This window comes from Homo sapiens, chromosome 7, assembly GCF_000001405.40.
Source record: "Homo sapiens chromosome 7, GRCh38.p14 Primary Assembly".
NCBI lineage: Eukaryota > Metazoa > Chordata > Mammalia > Primates > Hominidae > Homo > Homo sapiens.
This window is the reverse complement of record NC_000007.14, coordinates 80,592,796-80,607,627: the sequence shown is the minus strand read 5'-3', so window position 1 is coordinate 80,607,627 and position 14,832 is coordinate 80,592,796. Positions and strand designations below refer to the sequence as shown.

General features: G+C 35.7%; 1 protein-coding gene across 7 annotated transcripts in view; it reads right to left on the bottom strand.

The window, feature by feature from the left end:
* The window catches only part of CD36 (CD36 molecule (CD36 blood group)), a 77,068-nt gene extending 71,647 nt beyond the window's left edge, over positions 1–5,421 (bottom strand). For all 7 annotated transcript variants that reach the window (XM_024447003.2, NM_001371075.1, NM_001371081.1 and 4 more), the window contains exon 1: positions 5,249–5,421. The gene's annotated coding sequence lies outside the window, so the exon portion shown is untranslated. The remainder of the gene's footprint in view (positions 1–5,248) is intronic.

Genomic DNA, 14,832 nt, shown 5'->3' with positions numbered 1-14,832 from the left:
TGAAAATTGATAATATCACTTAGAAAGTGGGGGATGGGGAATGGGAACCTAGAAAATCTGCAGAAATGGAAACTGAGGAAAGCAATATGGCTAGACAAAGGCATAAAAGGTCACTAACTTCTACAAGCCTCCATGTCCTTATTTGTAAAAAATCAGTAGATCTTAGTTTTAGAGTGTGCTAAAAACTATCCCCACTTCTCCTATTTGTAGCTTTTGCTATGAAAAAAATGTAAACTTTGGCAGAGCAGCTGAAAGTAGACGTCCAGCCCTAAGCCTCAGAAAAAAAGAAAAGGCAAGCTTCATAGCTGTTGCTTTGCCATGGTAAATAATTAAGTGCTTTTCTTTTTCTTCTTTTTTTCAAAGGACCATTCAGATTGTTTCAGTTGCTTTTATTTATTCTACAGGATTTCAGCTTCAGAAACTCTCTTGCTGTTACTATGTACAGAAGTTTTGCATGGGAGAGTTGACAGAACAAAATGCTACCTTTAATACTCAAGAGGAATATTAATGGAGTGGAGAAGATAATGGGAGGAATTATAGTAAGCATCCTGTTTGCCTCTTAATAATAGGATTTATTTTTCACTTTGTTTAATCCTGTGTTTCCCAACTTCAGCTGGTAAACCATATAGAATTTTGTTGAATGATTATAACAGAGCTGCAGTACAAGGATAAAATACACAAAGATTGGAAGACTGAAGGGGAAGGAACATTCAAGCAGCTGTCTAGGTCAGAAAGGAACTAAGGGATGGAGAAAGAAAATGGGTGATGCCTGTACTTTTACCACCAGCTGGTAACCATCCCCCAATTTCAGAGAGGGTTTTGAGGGGATACGTGACTAGGCTAGCAAAGAACAGTACTGTGCATGCTGTGGTTGTTCATGAAGTGAAAAGTGGAGAAATCACAACCCTTTCCTGGAGGAAAGATTAGCAAATCTCCAAGATGACCCTCGGACCCAGAGTGAAATGGACTGAGCTAAATGTTTCTCTCTGGCTTCATCCAAAACTCAGTACATGCGGCAAAGACATCTAAGAGACTGAGCACAGTAGCAAGCACATCTAAGTTTTGCATGCAGACTGGGGAAAAGGACTAGGACATCATTGAGAGGCATTAGGTGAAATGAATGAGCTTCATGAATTGATTCACTGAGACATTCTCAGCATCTGTGAGTTTATATATTTAGCGTCTTGTAAATTATAGAATATTTCTCTATTAAATCCCATAATTCATTTTGTGAGTAGAGGATCTGTCCTATATTGTAAAAATAAACAAACCCAGCCAGACATGCTGGGAAGAACAGCAGTAGTAACATTCCATTAAACTACCTACCTGAGAATTTAATACAAAAAAAAAAGTTGCACAGATCTACGTATTATGTTACAGTAGAGCTCTACATCAATTTGGATATTTTTAGAAAAAGTGCTAAACATAAGAAAGAAATGTATCTAAGTTATTTACGTGATTCAAAATTCTTAAAATTTTAGTCATAGTCCTTAGTAGAAGATGAATATTTTGATTTAGGAAATATTTAGACAATATTTTAAATAAATGAATAAAATCTCTCTATTGAGTGCTTATTATGTATGAGTCAGGTACTGGGACATTGCTGTTACTAACACAAGTAGTTACAAATGGAATAGCTCCATTACCTTTATGGAGTTTATATGCCGGCAAGATGCTCCAACTCTAGGCAATAGCAAAGGTCTGTAAGGAATGCTCTTATCCCTGTATATTAAGCTTATCACAGCTCATACCTTTCTGCACTGTAATTCTTTGTCTATGCATCTGCTTAGATGTACCTATTGCCCAAACAGCTCTTAAAAGGATGGGGCTAATAGAAATTAAAGGTCTTCCCAGGAGACCAAGATAAAATCAAGACTAGTATTTATTCCCCATTTCAGATGAAATAGTTCAAGAAGAAATAATTTTAGGAAGTTATCAATCCTAAAGCTTAGAGTCCATACTACAGATATTTTATTCTGGAGAGGCTTCCTATGTTGTGTGAAGTTACTTAGCATTTTAAGAGTAAATGATGCAAAAACGAGAAGCTTAGAGCAAGCAATGGAAACAACTCTGACAGTATCTTCCTTCTAGTCCTTCTGGAAATATAACTGTCACTCATTTGGTCCATTTTTTTTCCCCCAGAGACTGATAACACTTTAAGGGAGCTGTTGTTGTGGGGTCATGGGGAAAAGTGTCCATAAAATGATGAATATGCTTTCACCATTAACTAACAGTTTTTGTTTGTTAACCTTCATCAAAAGTTTCATTCTATATGAACAAGGTTCAGAAAACCACCTGTAAAATGATCCTAGATTCTTATAAATGTTTAGCACAATGTTGCTTCTAATAGCATTTCCTAAAGCAGTGTAGGTGTTCATTAAATATTTTTGAAAGAGTATGTCAATGAATAAAGGTATGTGAAAGATAGCAACTCCATCATGTATTCAAACAAAATAGGTATTTCATGTTTGAGGGCTCAGTCTTAAAGTAGATATCCAGTTTACTTAAAATTTTGTATCTTCTCTGGAAAGACAGGATGCTTTGGGTTCTATTTTCTGAGACCATTGTATTGAACACACTAATTTTTATTACTTCACTTCTAAAACTGACCAGAATGAGATACAAGAAGTAGATCTTGCAATGGCATTTGCTACATTTTACATAAAGTTACAGTGAAGTTCCAACATGGGACCAAAGGAACCTCCAAATGAATTTCAATTAGACTGAAGTGTTCTTATTAAGTCATGGTCGTAAAACATGACATGACTAATATATATTTTTTTAATTTTCTAAAAATTTAAATGAGAAAAGTAATATTTATAAGACTTAATGAGAAGGAACAACATTAATGAAGAGATGAAACTAATAATAATTTATTTTTAAAAACTATCCTCATTTCACCTTTAAACATCACAAGCACTGAAGGGCAAACAATGGTTTTCCATTTGAGCACAGTCTGGAGTCCTTGGTGAATGAGCCAAGCTGTCTCCTATGTCCCCTCTAATGCTTGCCAATTTTCTGTCATTTCCTTCTTTGTACTATAGTGTTTGTGTGACAAAGGTCTCTGAGTATGTTTCAAAACATCTTTAGCTATTTAGCAGGGTACCAACAAGCACGTATCTAAAAGTGTTACTTCTCCACGTGGTTTGTCAGAAGATACAAATCAGAATTCACTTTACCCTTTTCCATAAAGAAATGACTTGAAAGCTTATTGTGGAACCAATGGCATACTTTGCTAAAAAAAAAAAAAAAAAAAAAAAAAAAAAAAAAAAAAAAATTCCAGTGGCTTAGCCAATTACTGTACTTCTATATACAACAGAACACTAAAACTATTTACTCAACTATATTCTTTTTATATTCATTGCACACTTATATCTGTTTGCAATCATTTACTTTTCCTGATGAGCATTTATTGTTTGTGATTGAACCACTGTGGATTAGACATGACTGAGGATTCTAGTCACATGATATGGAAACCCAACCTCATTCCCCTCCTCTAGTACCTCCTCTTGCTCCTCACAGGTGGCAATAAAGTAACCTGTTGTGAAGCGCGTTGCACACACTTCACAATTTTTATCTGAAGTGCACTTCACTCATTTTATAGCATTTCTTTATTTTTCAAAACAATTTAACCTGAAGCTTTGTTTGTAAATACTAAGAATATCAGATTAAATTCCTTAAGTAGTCATCTTAATCAGTAATTTGTGCCAAAAGCAAAATGAGCCGCAGTCACATCAAGAACTTTATATTTCTTTGCTCTGAAACATTTCCTTCCATTTAATCATCCCACTCTACAACCTTAAGCAGTCTTTTTCAATCATTTCTCAGCAGTTTAAAACTCTTTTTTTTTTTTTTTTTGCCTGACTGTAATTCTTGAGTTCCAGAGCTTATCTTTTCCCCAGGTGAAAACTGTTTTATTATCCTCAGGTGTTAGCTTTCTTGAACTCTTAGAACAGTTAATTACACAGTTATCATTATCCTTTACAAAAGTATCAGATTCCAAATAATTAGTATTTGCATAGTACATCATTTGAAAATATTTTTCCTTTCCTCTTGTCAGGATTACAGAAGTCTCATATATTGCCCCACAAATCCACTTTTATTATTTAGTCAGTTACACCTGAAAACAAGATAGGTTGCCTATTTCTCTTTGAGATAGAGATCCCATCTGAATTGTGAGTTCTCTCAAGGAGTGTCAACAAGTTTACCCCTTTGGAAGTATTAGCCTTAAATGGTTCCCCAGAATTCAGTCTAGCACCAACCAACCATTCCCCAAATAATAAAAGAAAGTGACCTTTTTTGTAAAGGCAAAGAAGCCTATCTAATTCTTTTCCAGGGCTTGTAGAATAGCAGAATAGCATGGAGAAACAGAAGGAACTGCTTTTCTTTTTTTGTATCAACCTTAATTGTGTCTCGAAATATGCATAACTTAAGTTGACTTTCTGTATAAGTAACGACTCTGTCATTCCTGGCGGTGTTGTCTGATCTTATGTAGCCATATTATGAAACACACCATATAATAAAAATTCTGCTATGTAACAAAATCTGCCCCCACCCCACAAATAAGACATGTGGCACCCACACTCAAGAAAATTTCTATGATCACTAATGATTAGTAAGTTTTATGTATAAAAAGATTTTTGTTTTCTTCTGTCTAGGAGTCAAATTGTTAAGATTGGTCTTTTAGGTTATTTCTTAAATATATTTGTCAGTTGTGACAGCAAGCCAAAAAACATTTTCAGAGTTCCATGAAAGAAGGTCATTCAAATTCTAGTCTCATTTTAAATACATATTTTTTCCAAGTTGGAAGAGGATAATCAAATTGGCCAGATTTTTAGAGCATCCTTCTGAAAAGATTAATCTTAAAAACCTATCAGAAAACATAAATAAGAAATCTGAAGGAAAAGAAGTTTCAGGTACAATTACACTTTTTGAAGTCACGAGAAGTTTGGGTTTTCTGACGTTTTCTAAGTAAAAGACATGAACTAGGCAACTAGAAATCCATAGCATCCTATGGAATTTAGAGACTTGTGGATATGTGAGGTTTAAGGGTTAAAAAGCAAATTTCTTTAACCATTTGGTTAAAACTTACAAATATGTTAAAAGAAGCATCACAGACTAAACTATTATATCAGATAATAATTACCTTTCTAGAGAGCCCAAAAATAATAGTTACTTACTAGATGAGAGTGCATCAACTACAAAGACATTTATAGCCACACTTCTAAACAAAAAGCATTCTGCTCACCAACTTCTAGAAGAGCTTGCTTTCGGAGATGTAGGACCTCAAGACTGGCTCCAGAGTCTTGCAGGAGCAGATGCAGAAAGTAAACAGGATTTCCACGGCATAGCAGCTGAGAACTCAGAAATGAGGCACAGGCTCTCAACCCTTCATCTATCCTTAAGGTTATCCTGACATCTGAAAGCCATTGACATCCTCAGCCTTCCAGCTCTTCGGACGCATGCCTAACACAAGTTAAATATAGATCCCTGACACCTGAGCCAAATGGAATGAAAGTTAACTTGAAAAATCTCACTCATTTTGGGCCTCAGTTGAGGAAAATAAAACCCTTAATCCTTTCCCTGCTAAAACCTGTTATTCCTGTTAACAGATGGTTGCTCTACTTATAAAACATAGAAATTCAAGTAATCAGTAATCAATAATCAATTTGCTTCACTTCATGATTACCATTTGCTCTGATAGTAAAGAGGAAGGCTCAGGTTTTCCTGTCTTAAGCATAAAACAACATAAAAGTGAATATTGATTACTATTGAGTCAACAAAACAGATTTTTGTTCCAGTAACTTTTGTTACTGGAAAGTCTCTGTAAACTTTCTTAGTATTTTTTCTCCTCTATGTTTTCAGTAGTCATTTGGTCATTTTTTGTTTGCCTCATTTAATGAGGCAGAAAATGTCATGCACTGCCAGAGTTCTTTGGTTTAAATTATTGTTTTTTGAATCTTTTTGAAGGGTTGTAGAATGTACTTGGTTTAAAAAATTTTTGCTTGGGACTTCTGGTAAACATGAATAAAGCTCTACTCTCAGCCCAAACAGACCCTGTGATGAAAGTTATTACTCTGAAGATATAATGACAAGATTTCTAAATTACTTTCTAGGATTTATATGTTAAGAATCTCTAATTCTATACTAAAACGAAGTGAACAGAGAAACTGGAAAAGTCATATTTCTCTCCTGATAGTTAAATATTTTCAATTAAAATTTCTTTTACAGAATCACATTAAAGGGAAATGATAGACTAGAGTTACCACTCTTTAAATGAAACTATTCTGTATCAAGTAGTAACCACTATCCACAAAAGAAGGTTGTTTTGTCAAATCACCATAACCAGTATTTTCATCATATTTTAATAATAGGTCCTATGTACTGAGCACTGCTCACGTGCCTGACCCTTTACGACGTAGATACCATCTAATTCACTCTCCTTTTCTAATCCCAAAATAAGCTTTCAAATTAATATTTTAGGCTCACTTTCCAGAGAAGAAACTGCAACTAAAAGGATAAGTTTTGACAATGGACACATGGTGAATAACTGATTCATTTGAGAGTCTAACCCACAAAATTTTGACCCACAAGCAAGTTTTCTTTTCCATCCTACAACATAGTTACAGGCTAAAAATGAGTTTCATCCACACTTTATCTGTATCAGATTAGCCACCCTTTGAGCAAGTCCAAAGCTTTTTTGCTTTTTTGTTGCTTAAACAAAGTTACAGAAAGCACAGAAATGGTCCCTAAAGAGTATTGCTATGACACCAGGACATTCCCAGAAGCATTATGTCCCTAAGACAGGAAAAAGAGAGAGGATCCATAAGCCACCACTCCAGCCACGGAGATTTCTCATTTCTTGCATTTATGCTTTTCACGTTCTCCTTGCCAGTTTGTATGAGCAGATTTTGATCTTCCAGATCCTGGAAGGCCAGCCCTGATGGCTACCTCTCAGCCAGTCAGAGGTCTGATATGTGACAGAGAAAGGGACAATCAGGTGGCAAGGAGTTGGCCCTTTAGGTCAGATGGTCTTTACGTGAAAAGTAGGGTCACATATTTCCAAATATTGTAGAATGTGAACTTTTTAATTAAGGAAAAAAATGTTGTTCCCTATGTGTAAAAGGTTTCTCTATTATTTGAACTAGGAACTTTTAAACAAATTATTTTATCAAAGAAGAAGGCATGTTAAAAATTCAGTGAACACAGCTATGCATATTTTCTAGGAACACAGTAAATATCATAGACTGCCTCTGACATTGTAAGCACTGTTATCTTCAAATATGGATTATGTCCCATAAGAACAGGAAATCCTGTATTTCCTTTCCACGAATCATATATGCATTATCATTAAATTGTTTACTCCCTGCTGGGCATGAGCTTATAGGGATAGGTGGTGAGGGAGAGGGAAAAGTTGTGGTAGATTGTGCTAAAAAGCACGATGGCTCTGTGGTAAATCACTGAGACAAGACCATTGACTCCCTCCATTTAGGGAATCCCTAGAAGTTTTCTTCACCAACTGTCTTCAAACCTGAACATTTCATCACAGAATGTCCATTGAAACTTAGGACTTTTTTTTTTTCCCCAATTGGTTGTCTGGCCTAACTTTAAGCCATTAAAGTTGAACCAACAATCCTGTTGCTAATAGTAGCTGTTTCCAGCTGTTGCCAGAATGTCCTTCACAAGACAGTATCATAGAATTTCCCATTTCTGTGTGAACATCTTTTTCTCAAAACAAGTAATTAAGCTCATCTGTACATATGCAAAGCATCATCAATATACAGGCAGTAGTAGGATTCATGTTTTCACTCCTACCCAGCACTTCCCATGTCCTGTTTCTCTGAAGTCTTCTGAGTGCTATTCCTCTTTCAGATAATTCTCTCTATTCCATTGCCATCATCCAATGTGCTTGAAGTATTATTAATGACATTTACTTCATCCTTGTGTATGTAATGCTGAGTGTGTTTAGGACTTTTAAAATTAATAGTCCATTGTGTAAAAGTTAATGGTGAACTGTTTTTGAACCCCTGGCTCTGAAACGCAACTGGGAAGGAACAGTTTGTGGCCTTCTAGAGAAATTCTGGCATAAACCCCTCTGCCCACTTGAAAACAATGAGTATTATTCAACAAGATGCTTACACATTAACCTTGCTACCTTGTGTTTAGGAAAAATATATTTGAAAAAATGCCCTTGTATCATTATTAGCTTGCCTAAACTATAAATTCAGGCTCTGAAAAATACTTGAGGGCTAATTTGTAAGTGATTCTATTAGTGCACTCTTATTACCAAGGTTTTTTGTTTACTTGCTTGTTTGTTTTCATGGAATAAACAATTTCACCCAAACACATCCTTCATTAGGAGCATTTTTCTACAGGAGAGCTATGACAAAGGTTTACTATTAATCTTCTCAGCTTAACTTGCTTTTCTCTAATCTAGCATATGTGAAATGTCCTTATTCTAAACATCAGATTAAGGTAAAGTTTTTATTGCCATTGCTGCTCACAACTGACTTTAATATATATATTTGTTTTCTCAAACAATGCTAAGAGAGAGAATTTTAAGTGTTTGTACCACATACATGATAACTATGTGAGGTAATTTATATGTTAACTAGCTAGATTTAGTCATTCTACAATCTATGTATACTTCAAAACACATCATGTTTTATACAATAAATACTCACAATTTTATCTGCCAATTTAAAAGTAAAATAACATTATACATGTTTGAAAAAGCTGACTTTAGGGAAGAATGCTTACTCTGTGTTTGGTCTTCAAAAATAATGAAGATTAATGGAAATATATGCTATTAAAATAATTTAATGGAGTAATGTTTCAAATCTTTGAAGCCTAAAATTATTGCTAAATTAGTATCCTTATTTATTTCCTCCATTCTATTGTCATCTTCATTAATTATAAAAGCCTTGACAAGAATTTGCAAGAAACAGTATAGTCCCAAAGCAGCATTCTTCCCTTTTAAGATGGTTGGGTTACCAGTTAATCATTTTTCATTCAAAAGCAAGATATATTGCAATTCTATTTACATATATGTTTTGTGCTACTCCTTTGGGGAAAAAGTGGTAAAGAGCCAAAATTTGTGCTCTCAAGTATATTATTGTTTAGTGAAGGGAAAAAAGTTGCAATGTGATAAGCTAGACTGAGAGATCAGAGAGGCTTCCCTAATAGATGCACGCATATATATATATGTGTGTGTATGTATATGGATATATAATGTATGTATGTAAATATATGGATATGTATGGATATATGTATATGGGAATGTATGTATATATATTTGTGTGTGCATATGTATGTATATACGTATGTACATATATGTATATACACACATACACACATATACACATACATACACATATACACACAAATATGTATACATACATTCCCATGTACATATACATACAAGATTTTTAGATATTAGTTTATTTAGCTAATGTAGCTTTATGTACATTGAGCTAAATAAACCAATATCTAAAAATGAGTCAGCTTTAACTGGCAAAGAATTAAGGAAAGCATTCAAAGGTAAGGGAGCAGCAACTGCAATGAGCCTGCCAGGGACAGCTAAGAGCACAGCAGGTTTAAATAACTGAAAGCAGAAAGCAGAAGGCCAATGCCCCTGGATGACAGAGAACAGGGAAAATAAGAGATGATGCAGAAGGTTTAGAGATGGGCCAGATATCACAGTAGTTTGTAAGGATTTATCCCAGGAACAACAAGAAGTCTTTGAAGTATTTTAATCTGGAAAGATTCACGATTGGATCTGAGTTACATTGAAAAGAAAAAGTCTCCAACAGCAGCATGGTTAATGGGTTGAAGAGAGATAAGAATTCAGGTGGAGAAACCAGTAAGGCAATTATGCTTGACTGTAATGGTAATATGGCCTAAAAAGGATGCAGAAAAAAGTGGAGAAAAAACGATGGATTTAAGACATATTTAGAAAGTAATATCAACAGGTTTAGTGGTGGTAGTGGTGCGTGAGGAAATGAGAGTGAGATTAATTGAAGAAGTCTTTAAATGGGAGCTATTCTAGAAATCATTCTGTATCCTACCATGAACACTCATTCTTTGGATAACATATGAGAACACATCTAGCTACATGATTGGTATACAGCAGGTGCTGAAAAGATATTTCCTGAATGAAAGAATAAATGAATGAGTGAATAGAATTGAATCCAATGTCAGCACGAACGAACAGTGATATTGAAACGTCAGTGTATCTGTTTAGTTTGGTTATCATAGGAGGCTTTCAAAAGGCTATGGCAGGGAGAGTTACAACACACCAAGTGACACCGTAGACACTATGAGTCCAGGGAGATACAAGTTAATTCTCACAGAGAAAGGACCAAAGGAAACTAAAAGAAACCCAATACTAAAAGGAATAAAGTTAAGCATGATTTACAGAACTTATGCAAGAGTCTTGCACACATCTGGCTATGTGCATAGAGCTTGTAATCTAATGGAAACTTGGGTCCCCCTGGACCAAGAACAAATAATATCCATAGGACATAAAGTCCCTCTTCCAGCACAACAAAACAACAGGCTGGTAGCCAATTATGGTAGCAGCCAAGCAGATGTCCCACTGTTTTTTAAATCAGACAGAGAGCCTTGGTTTGTTATCATTATTACTTCCATGCTGTAGCACTTATGTTTATGAAACTTTGTTTTGATGTTATCAGATAGTAATCAGTAACGATCAAACAATTCTTATTGTAATTTTTTGACAAGCATGGTACAAGGCTGTATCTAGTGAACTATAGCTCCATCCTCTTTCTTAGAGCAAAACATGGAAGGATTAAGTACTATGGTTCTGAGGTAGACTGAAAAGTTCTAGCAAAGCTCTGCAATTGAGACCTCCAGCCCTTATAATACAGTTCATATACCACTCTTTCAATTTTGCCTATTTTTAAATGTAAAGATTAGAAAGTGACCTTCTTGGCTGCTGTTTCCCTGTCTACTTCTGGGTTCCCACTGCTCTACCTGCGTTCTAAGTATAGGGATCTATCAAGGTCTAGGCTATGTTTTTTTCTTTTCTTCCTATATCTTCTCTTCCTTGATAATGCATTTTTCTCTGTGGGTCTAATTTAGCACCTCTGCACAATTAATTCCAAATTTTAATTTTTGACCCCTAAATTTTATCCTAATTATAAGATTAGTTAGCATTGTTACGACTTTTCTACATACTGGTACAGTGTTTATTATCTCAATATTTTTTAACTCTTGGGGTGATACTAATATTTGCTTTACAACTTAAATAGAGGCTTAGAAAAGTTAAGTAATTTACTGTACTGTTATGGTGCCCCACATGGCCAGACTTGGACCTAGATCTCCATGGATCTGGGCCTTGAACTCTTGGATACTCTGGTGTGATTGACTCACTGTGGTGTAACTGCATGTCAACCTTTTGTGGCTGTCTCTTCTCAGATGCCTTAAACACACATCTCCCCCTCCCTAAGTCTGTGTTCTCAATCTCCATAAATTTCATCACCATACCTACTGTCACTCAGCTTGAAATTGTCACCCATACACCCAACCATCTTCCAATTTCTAACAGTTTTAACTTCACCATATTTTTTTCTATTTGTCTCCTGTGTTTTATTTTTCACTGCATCCACTTAAGTCAGGTTTTAATCACCACCATGTTGACCACTGCCATCGTGACCTACTTGATCTTCCTGCATGAAGATTTGCTCCCTTCTCATTTATCAGATTAATCTTCCTAAGTCCCAAACTTGATTATTTGACTTATTTAAAATAAAACATTAATAATCCTCATTGCCCAGATAATGGACTTCAAACTCCTCAGTATTTAAGGCCCTCACCTATTGTTTCTATTTTGAATCATCTGTTCTTCAATGAAATTGTCCCTGCATTCTCACTTTTCATCTCTCACTGCTTCAAATAGTTCTTATATCTAGAATTTTCCATTCTCTACTAAATGTTACTCTCCAGATTCAGTGATTCTTAACAAGGTGTGTATACTTGAAGCATTGAAAAAATAATAACATGTCCAATATACAACCTGGTCAAATCAAATCTAAATTAATGGGTATTTCCATGTTTAAAAATTACTGCTTGTGCTACCACTGGCCCATAGGATAACTGTGCAAATAAAAGAAGCCATTTCTTCATGGCATTTTACTGCACCCTGCAAGAAAATTGGCATAACATGTATATACATTATATATAGGACATGTATATCATATATATCATGTATAACGTATGATGTATATATATGATGCATCATACATGATATATATTTATAAGTATGCTTGCTGTACAATATTGTATATTTCATAATATATGTATTAATATGTTAATAATAAGTTGTACCAAATTGGATACTATTTCATAATATATAATATGAATGACACCCTTTAGTACTGGGCAGTGTACAGCAAGCATTACCATATTCAGTAGCACACAGTGGTGTTACCTTAAGATTCAGTGGAGGTACCTTATCTCTGTGCTGTCTTCTTCATTTCCCCTTAGGCAGTAAAAACCCTTCCTGTATTGACCTCTCATAATATTGCATATCAGGCTTTATTTTACCTGTACATTTAAATCTTATTTTATCATACTTAGCAACGTATTTAACCTCACTGGTGTAATTGGGGGCTTATTCATTTAATTTAACAGACAGTTCCCAGATACTGAACAATTATTTAATAAATGGATTTCATGTGAATCATAGTTTTAGAAAGAAACATTCCAGACTGGCAAATGTGGTGATTTTATGGATTTTTAAAAACTGTACTTATTTCCAAAGGTATTTGAAACAGCAGTGAACAACATAAAACCAATGGTGACATAAAATAAATAACAAAGAAAATAGTCATGAAGGAGAGGAGATGAATTTTCCCCAAAACCTTAGCTAAGGACTGTTAGTTCACTGGAGCTCAAGCTTGGTGTCTCCTGGCAGCCAGGACCACGAAGGAACTGCTTTGTGTTTCAAAGCTCTCATCAGATACAGGAAAATGTAGCAGTCCTTCGGAAGACATCATATTTCTTCATGCACTAAACTCTAAGATAACTTCATTATGTTTGTCTTTATAAAAAATAAACATTAGGCCAGGGTGCGGTGGCTCATGCCTGTAATTCCAGCACTTTGGGAAGCTGAGGTGGGAGGATTTCTTGAGCTTAGGAGTTTGAGACCAGCCCCCTGGCAACATAGCAAGACCTGTCTCTACAAAAAATAAACAAAAGCAGCCAGATGCGGTGGCATGTGCCTGTAGTCCCAGCTACTTGGCAGGCTAAGATGGGAGGGTCACTTGAGCCTGGGAAATCAAGGCTGCAGAGAGCTATGATTGCGCCACTGCACTTGAGCCTGGGCAACTGAGCGTCTCAAAAAAAGGAAAGAGTAAATATTAAAATATTAAATGTCTTCAAAGCATTCTAATACAGGGTTCGGAAGTAGAGATTATCTTCAGATATTCAGAATCTATAACACTTCACATGATTTGGCCCTTGACTAGTTCTCTATCCTTATCTCTTACCATATTTCACTTCATGTACTCTACCAAAATACACAGCCCCTTCTGGAAAATGCCAAACTATATTCCGCCTCTGGACCTTGCACTGGCTGTTCAGTCTACTTAGAATCCTTTGCCCCCAGACACTTGTGTGCCTGTTCTGCTCCCTGTCTTCATTTAGCCATTATTTCAAATAACCTCTCGTCATACCCTATCATCTAACCCACTTTATTGCATTTATTTATTTATGCTACCTGATTTTATTGCACATTAGTTTGTCTGGTATTTTAAAAATCTTTAATATCTTTCACATGAAAATGTCAGCTCCTTGAGGCCAGGGAAGTTTTACTGTCCTGTTCATTGCCATATCCACACTGCTTAGAAGACTACTCAGCACATAGAAAACACACCAGAAATATCTGTTGGCCAGTTGAATAAACTATTTCTCGTATATTTACTTATCACATTAACTCACAATGAAAAATGTTCACAGTTTAATGATGAACCTTAATTCTATGAAATAATATCTGTGAAGAATGAAAAATCTATAGTCCGATACATAGCTTAAAATTGTCGGCCGGACGCGGTGGCTCAGGCCTGTAATCCCAGCACTTTGGGAGGCAGAGGCGGGCGGATCATGAGGTGAGGAGATAGAGACCGTCCTGGCTAACACGATGAAACCCCGTCTCCACTAAAAATACAAAAAATTAGCCCGGCGTGGTGGCGGGCGCCGGTAGTCCCAGCTACTCGGGAGGCTGAGGCAGGAGAATGGCGTGAACCCGGGAGGCGGAGATTGCAGTGGGCCGAGATCGCGCCACTGCACTCCAGCCTGGGTGACAGAGAGAGACTCCGTCTCAAAAAAAAAAAAAAAAAAAAAAAATTGTTTGTCATGATACACAAAATGATAGGAATGAATAGCAAAAAAAATAAAATAGCAACCCTAATGTATTCATTTTCTGTTGCTGCATAACAAATTACCACAAACTGAGTGGCTTAAAGTCATACCCATTAATTACCTCATAGTTCTGTGTGTCAGAAGTTGGGCGTGGAATGGCTGGATTCTCTTCTCAGTGTCTCACGAAACTAAAATCAAAGTTTTGGTTGAGCTGAATTCTGATTTGGCACTTAGGGTCCTCTTCTAAGCTCACAAGATTGTTGACAGAATTGAGTTCCTTAAGGTAGTAAGACTGAGGTTCTCCTTCGTTGCTGGCTATCAGCGAGATGTTGTCCTCAACTTCTAGAGGATGACCTCAGGGGCTATTTTCTCCTTCCACTTTATGTATTTACTCATCTATTGATTGATTGATATATTACGTTTCTCAGTAAGTGTAAAGCATTTATTATA